This window comes from Homo sapiens, chromosome 9 (assembly GCF_000001405.40).
Source record: "Homo sapiens chromosome 9, GRCh38.p14 Primary Assembly".
Lineage (NCBI taxonomy): Eukaryota > Metazoa > Chordata > Mammalia > Primates > Hominidae > Homo > Homo sapiens.
In genome coordinates, this window is record NC_000009.12 from 6,905,182 (window position 1) to 6,926,280 (window position 21,099).

Below are 21,099 nucleotides of genomic sequence, written 5' to 3' on the forward strand. Positions count from 1 at the left end.
GTATATATAGTTAACGAGGAACAAATGTAACATCAGTATGCCAACAGGGATACACATTGGAGGCCGTCTTGGCAGGAGATTGAGGGATAGATGAGGGAAAAGACTATGAAGAAACACTTCTAAACCCTGATTAGCCCTTGTATGAAACTCTTCTCGGTTGTATAATTTCCCCTCAAACTGACTCTACCAAGTGTTGATTGTCCTGAAATGTCTAGATTGCCTTACAACTACAGCCATTAGTTTGGGGGAACATACTTAGGTATATGGTCATAATTTTCAGAAAACATGGTTTCCTCCTTTAGTCTTTGACATTTGTTTAGAATATCAGAGAGGTTCTTCTGAATTTGGGTGCTGTATACACTTATGACCTTCAGAATTAATGCTGAATCCTAAGCCCTAAAATGATTCTTTTGAGAAAGCATGACCAAGACTTCGTAACAGATAACTGCCGTTCTCAGATTTGTAGGTGGGTTTAACTATAGCAGGGTATCTTAAATGGCATTTCTATAGTGTAGGGTCCTTGTGATCAATTTATGTTGCTTTTTGATCCAGTTACTATACAGACATGTTTGCTGGTGTTATTGAGATGGAAGGTGTCTGGGGCAAAGCTAAATCAGCCTGTGACTTCATTCAGCCCCTCAGACTGAAAAATGTGCTGAGCACAGATTCTCCTTCAATTCCTATTACCCTTTATTTTATGTTCACATTGAGGATCCTGCCAGTTAGAGTGGCCTCTGTGTAAACGAAGAAAATGATTTGGAGTTCAGATCCATATTTCTGAAAGTATCCAGGCTTTGAGTTGTGGAGAATCTGGAGCCCAGATTCAAATGACTGAGTAAGTGACGCATAGCTACTTACCGAGAAAATTGGGAAGATGCAACACACTCTGTTTTCAAAGAAACATTTTGAGGTTGGAAAGTATACAGACATAGAATTTCAAAGGGCACATGTCAAGTTTAGTTGTAGATTAACATGATGCTGTGTGTGTTGATTTCATGATGAGAGAGCACTTTTCCCTTGTTTTTTTTCTCCGTTTGCTTTCTGGAACTGATGGACATGATTGCAGATGGTGTCAGATTTGTTTTCTTAGAAGTAATTATTATTAAGCATTGAAGTAAATGGTACTTCTCGTTTGTGGAAACTCCACAGGGTAAACCTCTCCAGGCAACACTATGGAAGGAATTCTCAGCATCGTGGTATACCGTTCCTAAGTACCTGTTGTTGTCTCAATAGAGTCTATGGGCGAATTGGGAGATTAGTGACTCCAAGTCTTCTGCCTCAATGGTTTTGTCTCTGAGGCAAAGGGCTGGTACACTGACCAGAGCCTCCCACCTCAGCCTCCCTAGTAGCTGGGACTACAGGTGCTCCCACCTCAGCCTCCTGAGTTGCTAGGACAACTACAGGCACATGCCGCCATGACTGGCTAATTTTTACATTTTTTGTAGAGATGAAGTCTTGCTTTTTTGCCCGGGCTGGTCTCGAACTCCTGGGCTCAAGTGATCCTCTCGTTTCAGCCTCCCCAAGTGCTGGAATTATAGGTGTCAGCCACTGTGCCAGGCAGGTTTGGTTTTTAAAAATTTCTCTTTGGGTTACTAAAAGTGTTTGGCATTACATGATTTTTGTAGTTATTTGTGCACAGTTGTAGACTCAAGTGAATTTTAAAATGAAATTGCCTTTAAATATTAGTATGGCAAAAATGAAAACAGCATTGCATAGTATTGTTTATTTATATGGGTGACGTAGATAGGTATTTTATTTCATGGGAACAATCTAAGATTTATGATATGGATCAAGGATTCTAGAAACTATTCTCGTAACCAGTTTTAAACAAGGTCATTTATAACACCTCTGCCCAATTTTACTATTGTGAAAATATGCTTACAAGCATTAAAGGATTGACTCAATAGATTTTTAGAAAAATCTCTGCTATACAGCTGTTAAAAACAGCAGGGTGTATGTATTGATGTGATAATGATCTTCAAAATATATTGTTATGTGACAAAGAGTAGTTAAGGAATACTTCTTTAGCATGAAGCTGTATTTTTAAAAAGCAATCTTAAAAATATGTAAATTGAATGAAAAATAAATGAAAGATAAACATGGTTAATGCTATGGCCAGAGGAATGAACTTGAGATACAGACAGGCAAACCCTCATCTTTTATGCGGTCTACTTCTGTGAGGTTGACATTCATTTATTTATTTTTTTTGCAAGTCTATTTTCATGTATTATTTAAAATTCAGTAAAATTATTGTTAAAGTTTTCAGTAGTATCTGTACATGTAGAGCTCTGGACCAATGTCTAAATGCATCTTATAGACACATAGCAGAGATGTTTTAAAATTTGTTTCCTCCAGAATATTTAACTTGTAGCCAAAACTTTAGGGGAAGAGGGTAGTATAAATATGTGTCTTTACTCATAGGACTTTTTCAGCATTTAAAGCATTACTCTATAATTAATAATTGATATCTAATTAAGGGACATTTCACGTTGATTCTAAAATGGAAGTAAACAGCACTAATACAATTACTAACTCAAAATGCTGTTGAAAGAAGTAAAGTGGAATTCTGTGTTGAAACTATATTCAGATAAAATGGCGTTCTTTATTCCTTGTTGTAAAAACAGCCTGAAATTTTGTATTGGCTTTGGCTATGTATTTGTTTAACATTTTCATACAATTAAAAGTCACTATTAGACTGTAAATTGTATCATGGACTATGGTACTTAAATATTAACATATTAAATTTTCTACTCAAAGATTCATAGACAGTGTGGAAAATTCACCAGCAGAGGACAGTGTCGCTTCATACATTTTTTTTCCTGCAAAGTCCTTTGTAAGGAATGGATTTTCCTTATAACCTTGACCTAGAGTCTTAGAAGATATTTATTGGTTACACATTTGTAATCGGTATGTTTTATATTGAAGAGAAGATGATAAAAATGGATGTAACTTAATGTAGTAAGGGCTATTTATACTATTGTTTATATTCCCTTTACATTAGTTGTTTCTTAAATGAAGTGCCCATTTTATGTGTAGGAAGTTTGTGCATTTAACCTAAAATACCATCAAGTTGAAGTGCTGTCTTTTGTGAAATGAGGTTATAATTTTCTTCCAAATCTATTGCAAACTGTTAATGTGTTTAATCTCTACATGTTACTTAGTGTAGCTGCTGTGCGAAGTGGGTACAGACAGGCACACACAGTACAAAAATGAAATAGAATGTATTGGGAGGGCCTTACAAGCTGACAAGTAGCAGTGTGTGCAGGTCCCCCACCACTCATTCTTTCACTGAGAGAATGAGGCTTGAGTGGGGCACAGGTGGGAACGGGCGTCCACGGAAGGACCCCACCTGGCCCAACATGCTCCATTTAGCCACGGAGAATCAGGGCAGAACACATCCCTGTGGGACCAGGTGTGACAAGATCTTCTTGGGGGGAGGATGTAGTCTTTGTAGCACTGACTTAGCAAAGAGGCCTCTTTTTGCTAAGTTTCTGAGGTGGGGGGTGGGGAGGTACCTAGCTTAATTGGGGACATTAAGTAGATTTTAGTGGTAAAGAGAGGACATTTAGTCTGCCTGGGTTTGAATCCTAGCATTGTCATTTACAGGTAATATCATCTTGGGCAATTCATCTATAAATTGGGATAATAATACCAAATTGGAACAATAATGATAGGTTAGTTGTAATGATTAAATCAAATAATGAGAGTAAACTCCTGGAGTAGTGACTGACACATGGCATGTAATAAACATTTTTCTTTCTACGAGGTATTGATATTTATTAACCTCTTAAAAGCAATTTGGACTCCCTTTGTCTCTTATTGTCCTGTGACAGTTACCATGAGTGCATTCTCCCATTTTTGTTTACCAGATCTGCCCCAGGAACTTTTTAAAAAATTGATTTCTTTCTTTTGAAAATAAAACAAATATGTGAAACATACTGAAAATGCTAAAACCTACATGAGAGTATTAGAAAGTAAAGAATGTAATTCTATAATCAGCTACATATGGATAGGCAGAGAGAGGGGTCTGCTTCTTGTCCAGCTGTAGCTCTGTGCTAGTGGAAGCATGTCCTGGAGTTCACGATGTGGCCAAGAGAACAGATGTAGTTAGGCAATGGAGGTGGGACAGAGAGCTGCAAAGTGCTGCACTTGCCCCTCTTACTGGACCCAAAAGGCTCTCAAGTGTAACACCTTTCTGTAGTGCTGTAGATCATTAATCTGGGTGTGTGATGACCATCTGATCTAGCACATCCAGTGGCATTGTGCATATTGGGATAGGAATTTGATTTTGTGAACTCAAGCTATTCAGCAGGGCCCATGAAAAATCACCAGAAGGGTAGGTGGGTCTTTGCCACTGTCTGATGTTTCAAAGATTTCTTGTATTAAATGCTGTGTCCAAAATTATAGAATACTCTCCAGTTTGTATTTATGTAAAAAAAAAATAAAAATAAGCTTTCACTCGTATTTTTAACATGGCAGACTTTGTAAAAACATTTAATGAAACAAGTAAATATATACACTTATTTTGAAGTCTTTAGTATTTTAGAGTATATTTGACAGCAAAAGAGGGTGAGGAAAAACAAATTTGGATTTCTGTCCCGCTAAAAAATTCTTAAAAAAATATTTAATGTTAAATATATTAGAAGAAAATATAGGGGAGTATTTATTTGATCCTTGAGTGGAGCAAGACTTTTGAAGCGGCACATCATTGGTGGACACCATGAAAGAAGATTTCACGTATATCTTTGAAAATTGCAAGCTGAATAGAAAAGTATATGATAGGTAGTGGGTTAATATCCTTAATAAGGTGCATGTCCAAGTAATCCCTGGATGTCACTTAATAGCAAGTTCGTGAGAAGGAAAATATGGTAAAATTGAAATATTTTGAAGCTGAATATAAAATGTACTTGAATATTTTAAAATAAAACCATGTTTTAAGGAAATTTGATACATCTGGTATGCTGCATGGTTTTTACCTTCAGATGCCATGAGGTTATGAGTTACTCTTTTTTGCCATTAGGGGTCGTTTTTGGGCAAGTTTGAGAAGCAGCACTACATTAATATATAAAGAAATTCCCATTTGTAATTCATTAATCTTTAAATGGCTAAACTTCATTGAGTCCTTACTTTGTGTCAGGCATAAGGCTGAACTTACATTAACTTGTTTAATTTTTACAACTGTCCTATAGAATAGATAATGTTATTACCCCCATCTTATTAGAGAAAATTAAAGCACTGAGAGGCACAATTGTGGGTCCCTCCACACCAAAATTAGAAAAACTGGGCAAAAGACAGGCAGTTCACTAAAGCAGAAATATAGTCAGCAAATAACTACAAAACGTAAATATAATCTCATTAGTAGTCATAGAAATGCAAAGAGGTTAGTGCCATTTCTCACCTCTCAGATTGGTGCAGAAGACAAATGGAAATACTCAGTGCAGTTTTAAACTATGCAAATTAGTACACCCCAGAGCATGCCAAGGCACCAGCCTTAGAAATGTGTGCCCTGTGACCCTGCATCCACACCTGGGAATTTGTCCTATGGAAATAATCAGTAGTTGCCCAAGAATGTATTTATTTGGATAGTCTTCACAGTGTTGATTGTGAAACTGAAAAAATTGATAGCAAGTAAATGTTGAACGCTGCGGGATAGTTGAATAGATGATGGTACATCCAGTCATGATATGCTAATTAGCATTAAAAATGATGTGGAGGTACGTTTATTGATATGTGTAGATAGATGTTTGTAATACACGGTCATGGATTAAAGAAAGGTTATAGAATAGGATCTTTTCTTAGTTTGAATGCTTACTTGTATTACAAATTATAGAAAGATGTTTATTAAATTTTAGCGTCATCTTTGCAGGGTTTTAATTTGCTTATCTTTATTTTAAAATATTTCTATAGCAACCAGTTATCACATGTGCAGTGAAAAAAATAACAGATTATTTTTTTAAAAGGGCTGGCTTAAATTACTTAATTTACTTAAAATTATGTATAGCTCTATTAATAAAAAACTTTTATGCCATCACTTAGAGGATGAGGGAAAAAAACCTCCAACTTTTAATATGGAAGTAAAAAGACAAGAAGGTAGAAAATGATCAGCGATGAGGAATCTGAAAGATTAGAGTTTCCATAATTTGCTAGATTTGAGGCTTTGGATAAATTACCTGTTTCTAGCTTCAAACAGGAGTATAAATATCAATAATTCTTCAGTGTGCGTAATTGCATCTGATATTTGTAATGATGACTGTGGGCTGTCAAGCTAGTTAATGATTTTGATGAATTACATATCCCGATTAAGAAAATAAGCTAGTACATTAGTGAATTTTAGAATGAATAGTGTTAAATAGTTGAAATTCATGCCTGTCCTTCATGATACATTTCACTTCCTACCTCTGCTAGATAAGTCAGACCTGTTTAACAATGTTAGCACTTGTATAAAATGTTCATATTTAGTTCAAAAGGGAGAAATTTGACTAATCTCCTTGATCTCTAAAATAAGTTATTATATCTAAAAACTTAATTAAATTATTGTGGTCATGAAGCTTTTGTTGACGTATTGCAAAGGACATGTTTGTGAACGTGTGTGACCCAGCTGAATGTTTCTGGCTCTGCATAAGAACATGGGAGGAGGCTGGTGCTGGGGCTCGGGGAGGTGGCAGGGACTGGGCACTGTTGCCTGAGGGGGTAAACACCCCATGTCCTTTGGATCCTGGTTCTGGCTTCTTAGGTCATGAGGCCCTTCTGCAGGGTTGCTCCCCTACTTTTGCCCAGGACTTGGGGCAGTTTGTGAGGTTTGTGAGGAAGGTGGAAACCCAGTGCCAAAACTAGATGGTAGCCAGACCATCTGTGAAGGTTTCTCCCAGGAGGTTGGCACAGAACGGGAAGATGGCAGGTGACCTTAGGAAAGAGGTTTTCTCAAGGTGCAGGCAGAGCCAGGGAGGGGCCTTCATGGTGCCTTGCTGTTTCTGGCCAGCCTTATTTCCTGCCCACCTGCCCCTTCCTCCTTTCCTGCCATTCTATGCTTCTCTGCATTCTCCTTTAGCAGCAAGTTGAGCTGCTCCTCCCCAGACTAACGAATACTTGATACCATGCAGCTCAGCTTTGCTGTCACTTCTTGCAGTCAGGACCCTTAACCTCTCCCCTGTGTGATAAAGTACTGTCTCCTAGGGTTATTCTGAAGACTGCTGGAGAAGATGTACACACCATGCTGGCATTCCTTGACATGCTTCACATAGGCGCTGTTCTCTGAGGCAGGGTTCCAGGAAGCTCATAGTCCTGGCATTCATTGTAGAATGAATGAATACAAATGCCTCTGCCAAACACAGTGGATAAAAACAGAAATGATCATTAATGTATGTGAATGGAGTAGATTGAAAGTAAAGAAAACCCATGTACAAATTGTTCATTGTTCTATCTGAAGGGTAATAAATATACTGGGAGAGAGAGAATTTATATATTTGCAGCTTTAACTAATTTTGGTTTTGCTATAGTCCAAAGGCATTTCTGCTTAGAAATGTTTGTAAGGTTGTTTCTTTCCCCAGTAACTGGATTCTAATGAGGATAGCAGGTATTAGTGTCTGCTGAACTGATGGTTGCTCCCGGAGATGTGTTGGTATTCCCTATGTGTTACCATGTGTGTTTTTTAATCCTTTTTTTAACTACTTTTGATAAAGAAATAAGGAAAAGAATATTTTTTTTCACTATTTCTATTGTTGATATTTCAAGAATTGTGATATTCTTGGAGTTTTTCGTATGGTACCTTTTCTATATTGTTCCAAATCAGTGGGCATTTTCAGTATGTTGAGGAATTTAACAAAAAATAAAAAATAAAAAGCAAAGAAAATACTGGTCGTATCAGTCCTCCCTGGAATCAGTGGAAGTGAAAACTATGACATACTTGAGACATAACCTTGGTTAAGTAACGATGGTTTTAGTTCTGTGTTTGCAGCTAAACAAATAAAGCACTAGTACTTATTCTGGGATAAGGAATTGTCCATTTTCTTTCTAGATAATATAACTTGATTATATTTTTCAAAAAATTAGCTACCCAGGGATATGAAATGAAAAATAAAAAACCCTTTCATTAAAATGTTTCCTAGTATTAAAATTTAAATGCAAGCAAGTTGATTTAAAACAAGTAATTAGGTAATCTTGAAGGATATGGTGAAACAAACCCATTTGTTGTGATGTAGTGCAACATTTAAAGAATCTAATGCACTGTCTTAGGCTCTAGTTTGCAAAATGGGCTTTTATCATGTGTTTCCTTCTTTAGCTCATACCTTGCGCCAGCTGGTGAAGAATACGTTTCATGTACAGTGCGCTTCTCCATTGGGATTTGTGAGAGGCAGGCAAAGGGCTGTTACCTATACCTCTTCTCTGAAGGGTGGGTCAGTGGACTTCACTTGTCCTCCTGCCCTGTTGGTGGGTGTGGCAGAGCCCAAGGGGAGTCATTTCAGTGACAGCCAACCTGGCTGCCTTTCCTTCCTTCTTATCAGGAAAGCTAGCACATGGGAAAAATTGGACAGTTTCTACTCTATTATGATAATCCATATAAGCAGAATCACAAAATTCCCAGATGACAATTCAAACAGTTACTATAAAAAGTAATAAGGTGTATTTGACATCCTTTGAGGCCACACTAATGTCAGAGTTTCTGATAGTTTATGCGGTTTTAATGGACACATATTACTGTTAATGTAGATGGAAGGGATAGTATGAGAGTTGAGAGCAGGGAATGAGCTAACAGTCAGGGTTTAAGCACTCCTTTAGGAGCAACTGCACTTTCTGCGTTTCTTTTTCAATTCTGTTCCATCATCCTTGTTTGCAGTTGAAAGCCTGAGACTGTTATTTGTTTACAACATAGTACATTTTGTATTTTCCCTTTTTTTTGAGACGGAGTTTTGCGCTTATTGTCCAGGCTGGAGTGCAATGGCGTAATCTCGGCTCACCGCAACCTCTGCTTCCCAGGTTCAAGCGATTCTCCTGCCTCAGCCTCCCGAGTAGCTGGGATTACAGCCATGCGCCACCATGTTCAGTTAATATTGTATTTTTTGTAGAGACAGGGTTTCTCCGTGTTGGTCAGGCTGGTCTTGAACTCCCGACCTCAGGTGATCTGCCTGCCTCTGACTCCCAAAGTGCTGGGATTACAGGCTGGGCTTACAGGCATGAGCCACTGTGCCTGGCCCATATTTTCCCATTTTAATAAAGCATTGTCTAAGACAGTAACAGATGAGTACATCATTTCCTGGCTACTTGTAATACCGTTATGATATGCCACATGCTTTTGGTAAGATCAGTGCTTATAATGAGGGGTGCAGAGGTATTGGACCAATTCATGAGTGCCTTTTGACATTAAAAAACATTAGCATTGTTTGTATTTATTATTATGTCTGCTATGGTTTGAGTATTGGTGTCCCTCCACAATTAGTGATGAAACTTAAACCCCAATACACTAGTATTAAGCAGTGGGGCCTGTAGTAAATGATTAGGCATTGAGGGCTCCACGCCCATGAATGGGATTTGTGTTCTAACAAAAGGGCTTGAGGAAGCAAATTCGCCTTCCCCATTCCTTCTATCTCTTCTGCCATGTGAGGATACAGAAACAAGGCACCATCTTTGAAGCAGAGCATGGGCCCTCGCCAGACACCAAATCTGCTGGCACCTTGGTCTTGGACTTACTTGCCAGCCTCTAAAACTGTGAACAGTAAATTTCTATTATTTGTGAATTATCTGTAATTTGCTTTGTTAAAGCTGCCCAAATGTACTAAGACAGAGTCTTTTTGATTTTGCTGTCTACCTATCTTTCTCTATTTTAAGAATTAAGTGTTGGACTTATAAAAAGGGGCACAATTTGAAATTCTCGAGTTAGTCTTACTGAAATTAACATGATAAAACGTTCTAAATCATAGAATTTTCTGTGGGGTGCTTTTTTAGTTTGGAAAAATTTTAAACTTCCTTTACTACTTCAAAGATACTTTATTAATTTGCTAGAATGCAGCTCACCCTATATTGTCTTATTGGTAAAAATATGCAAGAAGCACGTGATCTCTTTCTACTGTTTAGGTTTTACAAAACAGGTGTTCATGCATCTACCTAAGAGAGTTTGTTTTAGGTGCTTCAGATTTCCTGTGAGGGGTTTAGGGGGTTGCATAGTAAAGCATTAGGTAACAAAAGAAAATGACCTTCCTCTGAAGCAATCATTTTTGCTGTATTGTCTTCTCACTACTACTGTGATGAACACTTGGAGATGCCTGCCACTTTGAGGTTCGGGGTTACATTCCATTTTAATTCAAAAGAGATAAAATGATTGTTACTGTCTAGTCATTAAGAAGTCATTTTCCTAATTGTATTTGACACATATTATGCTATTCTACTGGCAAAATTTGATTATTTTTAACCCTTAAGAGAGATAACAAAAATACGGGAAATAATCCACTTGACTGTCTCAAGAATAAAGAGACTGCTTTTGTTTTTCTTTCCTCGAATGCTACAACAATTTGTATATTCCTTGGACCTTATTGGAGCCTTAGTCTTGGTGGCTATGCCCTGTATCCAAGGTATAGCCTTCGAAGAACAAGGAAAGGGCTAGTTTTACACTTCCAGCTTCCTTTGGAAGCTGCCTGTTAATAGTGATGACGTTATCAAGTGTCAGGTTGCAGTTTGCCATCATGGAAGGACCTATGCTGGGGCATGAGAAGCTCGCAAAGACTCCTTTCCAGCACTTGAATTAATGACAGGCTGGGCTTTTATCACTGACAGATGCTGTAAAATAGTACAAGGTAATCAGGGTTATAGGATGGGGGGAATTTAATTCCAACATGGCATGAATTTGGACAGCTTTGTGAGAGACATCATATTTGACCTGGTGAAGATTGGATGGTGTTTTGGAAGTATATATTTGGAAGGAGAGAGTCAGCAACCTGAGTAAAGATGGGGGCTAGATGTGGTAAGGTGTTTTTGACAGTCACTTCTGAGTGATTTGAGGTGTAGTGTGTTTAGAAGGGTGGGTGGAGCTGGGCTATGAAGTGTCTTGAAAGTTTTACAGAGTTATCCGGACCTTTTTTATTCTGAGTGATGGGGAGCCTATGAGCATTTTAAAGAAGAGGTTCAATATAAACTTCTGAAGGACAGTGGTAAAAATATAATGTGTTTGCAATTTTAATGAGAGTTTTTTTTTTTTTGAAACAGGGTCTTGCTTTATCACAAGGGCTCAAATGATCCTCCTGCCACAGCCTTCCGAGCAGCTGGGACTTCTTAATTTGTTTTTTTATAGAGACAGGCCTCACTGTGTTGCCCTGGCTGGTCTCAAGTGATCCTCCTGCATTGGCCTCCCAAAGTGCTGGGATTATAGGAGTGAGCCACTGTGCCTGGCTGATATTTTTCTTTATTGGCTAATTCGTTTGACCAGATGAAATTCTTTTTCTTTATCCAGCAAATATATATTAAGCTTTAGTTACAGGCAAGATAATTTATATGTGTGAATAAAATATGAATAAAGCCAGTTCTAACTTACAAAGAGATTTTAGCAGGATGTTTTATTTTATTTCTGTTTTAAGCATTGAATGTTGCATACTTACTAAGAGGATTATGTCTTCTAAAATGGACCTTCTTGTTTTTAGAAATTTTGATCACCTTTGAATAGGTTCTATTTTGGCTAAGCAACTTTCAAAGCAACAGCACTGTATTTTTCTGTGCTTGGTGGATGGACAAATGTTTGTAGATTAGAGTAGAAACATCCCAGTTTCATTAATTTTTCTCTCTGGTTTTGGGGAAATGATACAAAGTTGAATGAGGGAATCTGCCTATTCATATTCCACCCACGAAGATTGTTGAGGTCATTCTGTTTTTTTTGTTGTTGTTGTTCAAGAGTTAAAATATCGTTTATATAGGTATGAATTATTTTCATTGGCAGGAGTGAATTGGAGAATGTGGGAAGTTAGGCATGAATTGCAGGGCTGTGGGAGAGATGCTCAGGAAGGAAAATGGCTGTTGGGCAGCCCCTGCCTCCCTTACTCAGTCTTCTGGTCTTAATATGAGCACCATATAGGTATCCATATTCTCAGTTTCAGGCATGCCTTCCTCTGATCTACACCACCTGTCTCTCAAGCTCTTTTTCTCCACTACCCAAACTGTAGCATGCACTTGGACCCCAGTAGGGTTTAAAATCCATTGATCCTACTTTTCATGGTTGCTCACTCACCTCAACTTCTTACTTCCCCCTTTCACTGGTTTCTATTGCATGATCCATCATTGTAAAGATACCTTTGGTTTCACACCTTGCCTTTCTTTCACTTTGTTATACTCATCTGGCAAAAATCCCCATCTTGTTCAACTTAGCTATTTCTCTTGCTTGTCCCTGTGTATCTGACCATGGCTGGAGATAAGCATGCAGCCATCCCATTTCCTATCCCTAAATTCTAGGACTCCAATGAGTTGTTCACGATGCCCAGCAGTCCAGCCATGTTGCCGAGTTCGTTGGCTCTCCCTCTCTCCTCCTGTCTCCATCCTCATTCTTTGCTGATTGTCTTGCTTCTCATCTCATTGAGAAAATAGAGAACTTCTGCAGACTGCACACAGCACATTTTCCTACCTATCAGTCCCGGTGCCCATACACTTGAACTCCCATTCTTTTACCTGATTGAATTGTTTATGGGTCTAAGTGAGGCCACTTGTGCACTTGACCCCAGCCCCTCTTGCAACTTGAAGACCATTGTCCAGGCATCTCAATTCTTCATTCACTGCATCATCACGTTTTCCTTCTCCACTAGATCAGTCTCATCAGCATACAAGCTGTTATTTCTCCCATTTGAAAAATATCTTCTCTTTTTAAAAAATATAAACTTTTATTTTAGGTTCAGAGGGTAGATGTGCAGGTTTGTTACATTGGTATATTGTGTGATGCTGAGGTTTGGGGTACAATTGATCTCATCACCCAGGCAGTGAACATAGTACCCAAAAGGTAGCTTTTTTTAGCCTTTGCCGTACTCCCTCTCTCATTCTGGTAGTCCCCAGTGTCTACAGTTCCCATCTTTGTGTCAATGTGTATCCAATGTTTAGCTTCTACTTACAAGTGAGAACATGTGGTATTTGGTTTTTTGTTCTTAGGTTAATTTTCTTAGGATAACGGCCTCCACCTGCATCTGTGTTGCTGCAAAGGACATGATTTTATTCTTTTTATGGCTGCATAGTATTCCATGACGTGTATGTACCATATTTTCTTCATCCAGTCTACTGTGGATGGGCACTTAGGTTTAGTCCATGTTTTTGCTATTGTGAATAGCACTGTGATGAATATAGAGTGCATGTGTCTTTTTGGTAGAATCATTTCTTTTCTTTTGGGTATATACCCATCAATAGGATTGCTGGGTCAGTTGGTAGGTCTGTTTTAAGTTCTTAGAGAAATCTCCAAACAGCTTTCCATAGTGGTTGAATTAATTTACATCCCTACCAGCAGTGTATGTGTTCCCCCTTCTCTACAGCCTCACTAGCATGTATTATTTTTTGACTTTTTAGTAATAATAGGAATTCTGACTGGTTTGAGATGGTAGCTCATTGTGGTTTTGATTTGCATTTCTCTAATGATTAGTGATGTTTAGCATTTTTTCATATCTTTGTTGGCCGCTTGTATGTATGTCTTCTTTTGAGAAGGCTCTGTTCATGTCCTTTGCTCACTTTTTTTTTTTGAGACAGAGTCTCACTCTGTTGCCCAGACTGGAGCGCAGTGGCACAGTCTTAGCTCACTGCAACCTCTGCTGCCTGGGTTCAAGCGATTCTCCTGCCTCAGCCTTCCGAGTAGCTGGGATTACAGGCAACGGCCACCATGCCTGGCTAATTTTTGTAGTTTTTAGTAGAGATGGGGTTTCACCATCTTGGCCAGACTGGTCTTGAACTCTTGACCTTGTGATCCACCTGCCTTGGCCTCCCAAAGTGCTGGGATTACAGGTGTGAGCCACCACGCCCAGCCTACTCACTTTTCATTGGGGTTGTTTTTTGCTTGTTGTTTTAAGTTTCTTACAGATTCTGAATTTTCTTTTTCCTTCTTTCTTTCTTTCTTTCTTTCTTTTCTTTCTTTCTTTCTTTCTTTCTGTCTCTCTCTCTCTCTTTCTTTCTTTCTTTCATTGAGATTTTGGATATTAGACCTTTGTCAGATGTATAGTGTGCAAATATTATCTCCCATTATGTAAGGTGTCTGTTTACTTTGTTGATAGTTCCTTTTGCTGTGCAGAAGCTTGAAAAAAAAATCTTAATCCCTCTTTCCATCTTACCTGCTATCCCTTTTCTTTGTTTTTCTATTTAACAATACTTTGAAAGAAGAATTGCCTATATTTCATCTTTCAATTTCATCTGTCTGTCTGTCTGTCTATCTATCTATCTATCTATCTATCTATCTATCTATCTATCTATCTAGGATGGAGTTTCACTCTTGTTGCCCAGGCTGGAGTGCAATGGCGCGATCTTGGCTCCCTGCAATCTCCGCCTCCCGGGTTCAAGTGATTCTCTTGCTTCAGCCTCCGGAGTAGCTGGGACTACAGGCGTGCACCACCATGCCTGGCTAATTTTGTATTTTTAGTAGAGATGGGGTTTAACCATGTTGGCCAGACTGGTCTTGAACTCCTGGCCTCAGGTGATCCACCTGCCTTGGCCCCCCAAAGTGCTAGGATTATAGGTGTGAGCCACTGCACCTGGCCATATTTATTTTTCTATTCTCTCTTTAAATACCATAGCCTTTTACCTACTCCATGCTATCAGAACTGCTTTTGTCAAAGTCAGTGGTCATTCATTGTGGAATTGCCTGACAAGTTCTTCCTGCCTGCTACAAAGGCAAAATCTGTTCACTAAGTCTGTGGCATTGCAGTAAAGAAAGAGTTTAATTGATGTGAGGCCAGCCCATGCAGAAGAACTGGAGTTGTCACTCCAAAGCCTTGGAGGTTAGGGTTTTTATGGACAATTTGGTGGGCAGGGGGCTAGGGAATGGGTGCTGGTGATTGTTTGGGGATGAAATCATAGGGGTGTGGAAAGCAGTCCTCATGTGCTGAGTCCACTCAGGATCAGTTGTGCCATGACTCATGAGTCCCATGGGGTCAGTCTGAAAAACAGTTCAAAAAAGAAAATAAAAAAACAGTCTTAGGTTTTATAATAGTGATGTTATCTGTAGAAGCAATTGGGAAGGTTCAAGACCAGCCTGGCCAACATGGTAAGACCCCATCTCTACTAAACTACAAAAAAATTAGCTGGGCTTGGTGGTGGGCACCTGTAATCCCAGCTACTCAGGAGACTGAGGCAGGAGAATCACTTGAACCGGGGAGGTGCAGGTTGCAGTGAGCCGAGATCGTTCCACTGCACTCCAGCCTCAGCAACAGAACAAGAAAAAAAAAATTAATTAATCAATATAAAGAAATAGAAACTTGTATATCATCCTGACAAAATAGGTTATTGGAGGTGGAGGGGTGAAAGCGGAATTCTTTTGAGGAAATTACCAGGGAGAGTGAATGAAATCAGGGAACAGATTAATTTGTACATTATCTTGTGAAAGGGTCTGAAGGTGTGCTTACATTCTTGGTCTTGCACAGAGGGAAAGAAAAACATTTGTTCTGCTTGGTGGGTCTGGATCTTAGGCAGGTAAAGGAACTACTTCACCTTCTTTGAAAGGGACTGGGGCCAGGAGGAAGTCAGAGAGGCCTTGAGGTTTCTTCCCCTGCAGTATGTCAAAATGGCATGTTTTGAGGTATCAGTTTTCTGAGCCCCAACACCAAATTATATTATTTAAAAATTCTCATCTTACATGACCTCCTGGCAGCACTTGATAAAGTTGTTCCTTTATTATTTTTTTAAATCGGCTTTTCTCCTTGCTTTCTGAGATGGTACACATTTCTTGTTTCCGTCTGCCTTACATGGTCTTCCCTTCTCGGTCAGTTTTGTTGGTTCCTTTTTCTTTGATACCTTCGAGAGCTTTAGGGCTTAGTCCTCAGGTTTCATTTTCTTGTCTACACGAATTACCTTATGATCAAATTCAGTCTTGCAACTTTAAATATTATCTGTATGCTGATTACTAATGACTACTAAAATTTGTATCTTTAGCCTGGACTTTTCCTTGGAACCCACAAACTCCTGCCATGAAATCAAGGCTGATTACTTCACACGTCCGCTTGGATGTTGATGGGCTTCACAAACGTTAACAAGCCCAGAAAGTGCTGTCAAAAGACTTCTCCACCTCATTTAGTGGCAACTCTGTTTCTCCAGTTGCTCAGGCCAAACACTCTGGGAGTCATCACTGCTCACTCGCTTTCTGTTTAATCACACACCCAATCAATTCTGTTGGCTCTAGAATCTCTGGGATGCCCACTGCTCACCACACTCACCACTATTACTCTGGTCCAACCACTATAAGTCATTGGCCTGGCTATGCCAGTGGGTTTCACAGTCTTACTATTTCTCTCTATTCTTTATTCGGCAGCCAGCATGACAGCTTTAAAACCATTTGTCAGATTGTGTATACTTCTGCTCAGAATCTCCCCTTCCTAGCTTCCCATCTCGCTTCCATTAAAATTTAATATGCTTACCATGGTGAGCAAATGCTACGTGATCACTCCCTGCCCCAACCCCTACCCCCCATCTTTGACTTCGAGTTTTACCTCCATGACCCTTGCCCACTCTGTACCAACACAGTAAGGCACATTAATGCCCTAGGTCCCCCAGGTTCCATGATCCTTTTCCCAGAATACCCCTCCCCAATCTGCATGGCTCGGTCCCTCCCTTCTCTGAAGTATTGTTCAAATGTCATCTTCTCACTGATATCATTTCTCAATTTGAATTGGAACCCTCTTCACAATCCCAAGCTCTGTGAAGGGGATTTTGCCTTATTCACACCTGTATGCCCAGTGCCTAGCACCATAACTTGTACATAGTACACGTTCAGCAAATATTTGCTGCATGAATGAATGAATGTATGATGACAGAATGAAGCATGCAGACTTTTAACTTACACAGTTTAGCCCAATCTTAGCTGCTGCTGCTATGTTTTTGTGAATTTCTATCTAATTCCTATCTTAATTTTTTGTTTTATGCAATGTTATAACACTGAACATTTCTAATTTCTTTTACCTTTGCCCTTATGCAGGGCATGTGCATAGTACTATCATGGTTATAGTCATAAGGAAAGCCACCCTGTTGCAAGATTTCCTATCACAGGTTTCTGATTACATTTACTGTTTTTTTCCCCCCCATTAAAAGAAGTAGAATTCCTGGAAATAGTTGGGTAACATCTTCAGCAATCTTCCAGGCTGTGCATGTTGGCTCACGCCTGTAATCCCAGCCCTTTGGGAGGCTGAGGTTGGAGGATTGCTTGAGTCCAGAAGTTTGAGATCAGTCTGGGCAACACAGGGAGAGCCCATCTCTACCAAAAATACAAAAATTAGTTGAATGTGGTGGCCCGTGCCTGTAGTCTCATCTACCTGGGAGACTGAGGTGGGAGAATCACCTGAGCCTGGGAGATTGAGGTTGCAGTGAACCATGATTGCACCACTGTACTCCAGCCTGGGTGGCGGAGCCAGACCCTGTCTCAAAACAGAGAAATAAACAGCCTTCCAACATATCCTCAAGCAGTTAACTGACAAATGTCACTAAGTTTCTTTCACTGTCACTAATAATTGAACTTCAGCCAGAAATTCAGGAAGAGATGCTTATCTCTCCCTCTCTGACTCAAGCCACTTAAACTGTGCGTTAGCTACAGAAATGGATGCACATTAGATTTGTTTCCAAAGTGATGTTTCCAAATTAACTTAAAAGGCAGTGTCACAGGGTGATGTCTCAATAAATCCTCTCATTTCTTGTTTTGTCATATGCTTTAGATTCTCCTCAGGTATGAATTTTCTCCCCTCTAAATCTATTTTATGGGTATTTATTTGGTAAAGCCTGTTTGATTTAATGTTTTTACTCTTTACGGGTTTGTAAAGCACTGCCTCCTCCCCACTTCACCTGGGGGCCGAGATTATGGTTATACAATAGCTCGTTTGTTACATATGCAAAGCATTGGAATCAGACAGATTTTTTTTTTTTTAATCTTAAAAAAATTCTGCAAAGAATGTTGCACTGTTGCTGCATGTGACCCTCTTTTCTGGCTATTGTGACTAATAATTGCACAAGTATGGTTTGTAGTTGCAGTTTCCGTTTAAATGTTTTTTTTTCCTTTGAGATACTTCATTTATACTGACTTTTTTTCTGAGTGGCTATCTTATGAGCGCAGCTTGAATTTTAAGATTAATATGAATGTGCATCACTAGTGAATTGTATTCTTGGATTTATTTGAATGAGTGAATGACTGAATGATTACAATGACAGAATGAAGGTGCAAACTTTTACTTTCCATGAATTCCAAGAATTGTATTCTTATTTGCCGAGGGATCATCAAGAGACAGAACATAGAATACCCATACATTACAGGCAAGTTCTTCAGAGTCTTGTGGGGTTTGACATCTGAACTAATGGCTTGTAATTAATGACCAAAAAATAAGTCATTAATATAATTCCATCAAATGGCTCTTTATCTTGTTTTGTATGTATGTGTGTTGTCATTATTGTTTGTTTGATTGTTTCAAATGCTTCCTGTGTCAATGACTGCAGAATCCAGTCTTCTCTTTTTGGGGGCAGAGAACCAAGGGGGACCACTGTGTCTTCAGCACATTGGATTTCATCTTTATCTGTAAGAGAAAAAAGCAGGAATCTGAGAAGAGACCGATGCTTATGGCTGCTGCAGCCTTTCAGGTGGGGCATGGGATTCTTCTTTCCCTCCTCAGATATTTAGAAATTTCTTGGTAAGTTTTTTGAACAGTTCTCAGCATGTCTTCCTCAGGTGCCTTAGGCGAGACAATGTTTACTTCTTATAAAGCTCAGATATGGTAATCCAGAATCCTTTTTCTAATAGCTGCTGGCTTTTTCTTTTTTTAAAAAAAGTTAGCTGTGGTTTTATATTTTAATACAGAATAAGAACATACTGGAGAGAGAAAGTGGTTACTGGTTGCATGTGCTTTTTTGTTTGTTTAATCCATCGTGACAGATGGTGTGGACTAGTTTAATATACTGAACAGTGTTTGTGCTTGTTAGTTGCAGTTTGTGCCTCCAAGTCCACTTTGCCCTAGTCTCTTACCTGTCTGCCCAGGGTTGCAGATCTGTATGGGCCGCCACCACAGGCCCCCTTTCCCTCTGGCTTCTGGTAGAGCCCAGGCAGGAAATTACAAGAGGAGGAGAGTGAGGGCCCAGGGCTGCAGCGCTCTGTTGGACTTGCCTCACACCATCCTCTGTTGCTCTGTCCTTAGTTTGGGGAATTACACTCTTCTCTAGTCCTTTTAGGACTAGATTATTGACACCTCAGTTGTTAGCTGGCCTGGGGCACCACTCTGTCTATCCTCTGGTTTTTCTGTACCTTGCCCACGCCAATTCAGTCCCTTAATTAGATCTTCTCTGATTATTCCAACGTTGAATGTTACACTTGTGTTCTGCTGGGGTACCGATGCATAATGTGTCATCCTGGGAAACTCCTGTGGATTTTGTCTGAGGAGTTTTTATTAAACACAAAAACTTAAAATGTTTAAAGTTATTTTCCCTGTATATTCTTTTTTTTGGTTTCTGCATTCCACTTTGCTATTAACATGAAAATAAGACAGGCTGTCCACTATATATTTTTTTCAATGAATATTTGGGGTGGTGGAGCATTTTGTTGGTCAGAGTACAGCCTTTAGTTCTAATAATAATGTGTTCTGACAGTGGTTATTTTAAAACACGTTTTGGTAGAAGTGTTGATGTTTTGTATTAGTGAATCTTAGGCTTCCTACTTCTGAAGTTCTGAAATGAACCAGGTGTATAAGAATGAACATTCAACGAAACATGCATCCTTTTTAAAATTTAGCTTTCTAGTACAGACCATGCATTTTTCCTCTTTGAACTCTTTCATGGATGCCAAGCAGTGCCTCACTGGAAGTCCTTATCATCGTGCGTAAACATCCAGGGCTGTCACTGTTGGCGATACAGCTCATGTGAGAGCTGTGGCAGAGCTTCAGACGGAATAATTATGAACAGCATTGTAGGAGGTAGTTACTATGGGAAAATATAATAATGGAGGTCAAATAAAGGAGACACAAGCTTTCATCAGTTGGGCGTCTTCATTTTCTTTTGGCGAAGAGAAGCTCAGTTCTCTTTGTAAATTAAAAGCTTTTTTTCTTTCCTTCCCTTTCCCTTTCCCCTTCCTCCTTTCCCCTTTTCCTCTTCCCCCTTCCCCCTCTCCTCCCCTCTTTTCAAATAAGGACATATTCTCACCATCTTGCTCATGCTGCTTTCAATCTCCTGGCATCAAGCAGTCCTCCCACCTTGGCCTCCCGAAGTTCTGGTACAAGTGGGAGCCACCATGCCTGGGCAGACCCTCAGTTCTAAAACCGTCTTGGCTTGTTTACCATCAGCCCTTCACCGTTTCAGAAAGATGCTGTTCGGAGAACTGTAAGGGAATTTTCCAATTAGTTCTGTTTTTCTTTCTTTTTTTCATTAGCCCTCTCAGCTGACATGTGAGTTACATAAACTTTTTAATTGAGATTCATGTGTTCAAAATCATGTTTTAATTTTGTTTTTGGTTTTGTGGTAGCTTGATATGATGTGGTACTACCTCTTGTGAAGTTTAAAGTTTGTATTTTATGAAAGGGCATTGGGACGTGAAAAAATTCTGTTTTTTATCTTGAGCCGCAGCTTAGCTTGGGATATTAGGATTAGCAGTCACTGGAGTGGAACGTTTCCAGTGGCTTCCGTAAAGTACCCTGGATTCCTCTTCCCTGGATTACTAGAGAGCGGCTTCCGAGCATAGCCGCTGCGAACTGTAAAAGCTTGTGGTCAGTGAACTCAGTTAAGAAAGTGCTGGCGATGGTGAAAGTCAAGCCCCTTTAGATGGTGGTTCTTTCGTGGACCGGGTGCCTTCTCTTTGTGAGCAGATTACCCAGTTTGGCGTCAAGGGGCTGTTAGGCATTCCTTCTTCCAGGAAAACATTTCCTGAGGCTGTAGGACTCAACTGTGAGAGGCAGTTGTGAAGGAGGAAAAATAATGTAAGAATTAACTGAG

General features: G+C 39.4%; 1 protein-coding gene across 21 annotated transcripts in view, besides 1 other annotated feature; it reads left to right on the top strand.

The window, feature by feature from the left end:
• KDM4C (lysine demethylase 4C) overlaps positions 1-21,099 on the top strand; it is a 454,786-nt gene that overhangs the window by 184,319 nt on the left and 249,368 nt on the right. The window lies entirely within an intron of this gene.
• Positions 12,182-12,261: an enhancer, noted in NCBI's record as "active region_28209". NCBI's record gives its function as "activates an Ori minimal core promoter by ATAC-STARR-seq in GM12878 lymphoblastoid cells {active_cell/tissue: GM12878}" and the evidence as "EXISTENCE:reporter gene assay evidence [ECO:0000049][PMID:35858748]".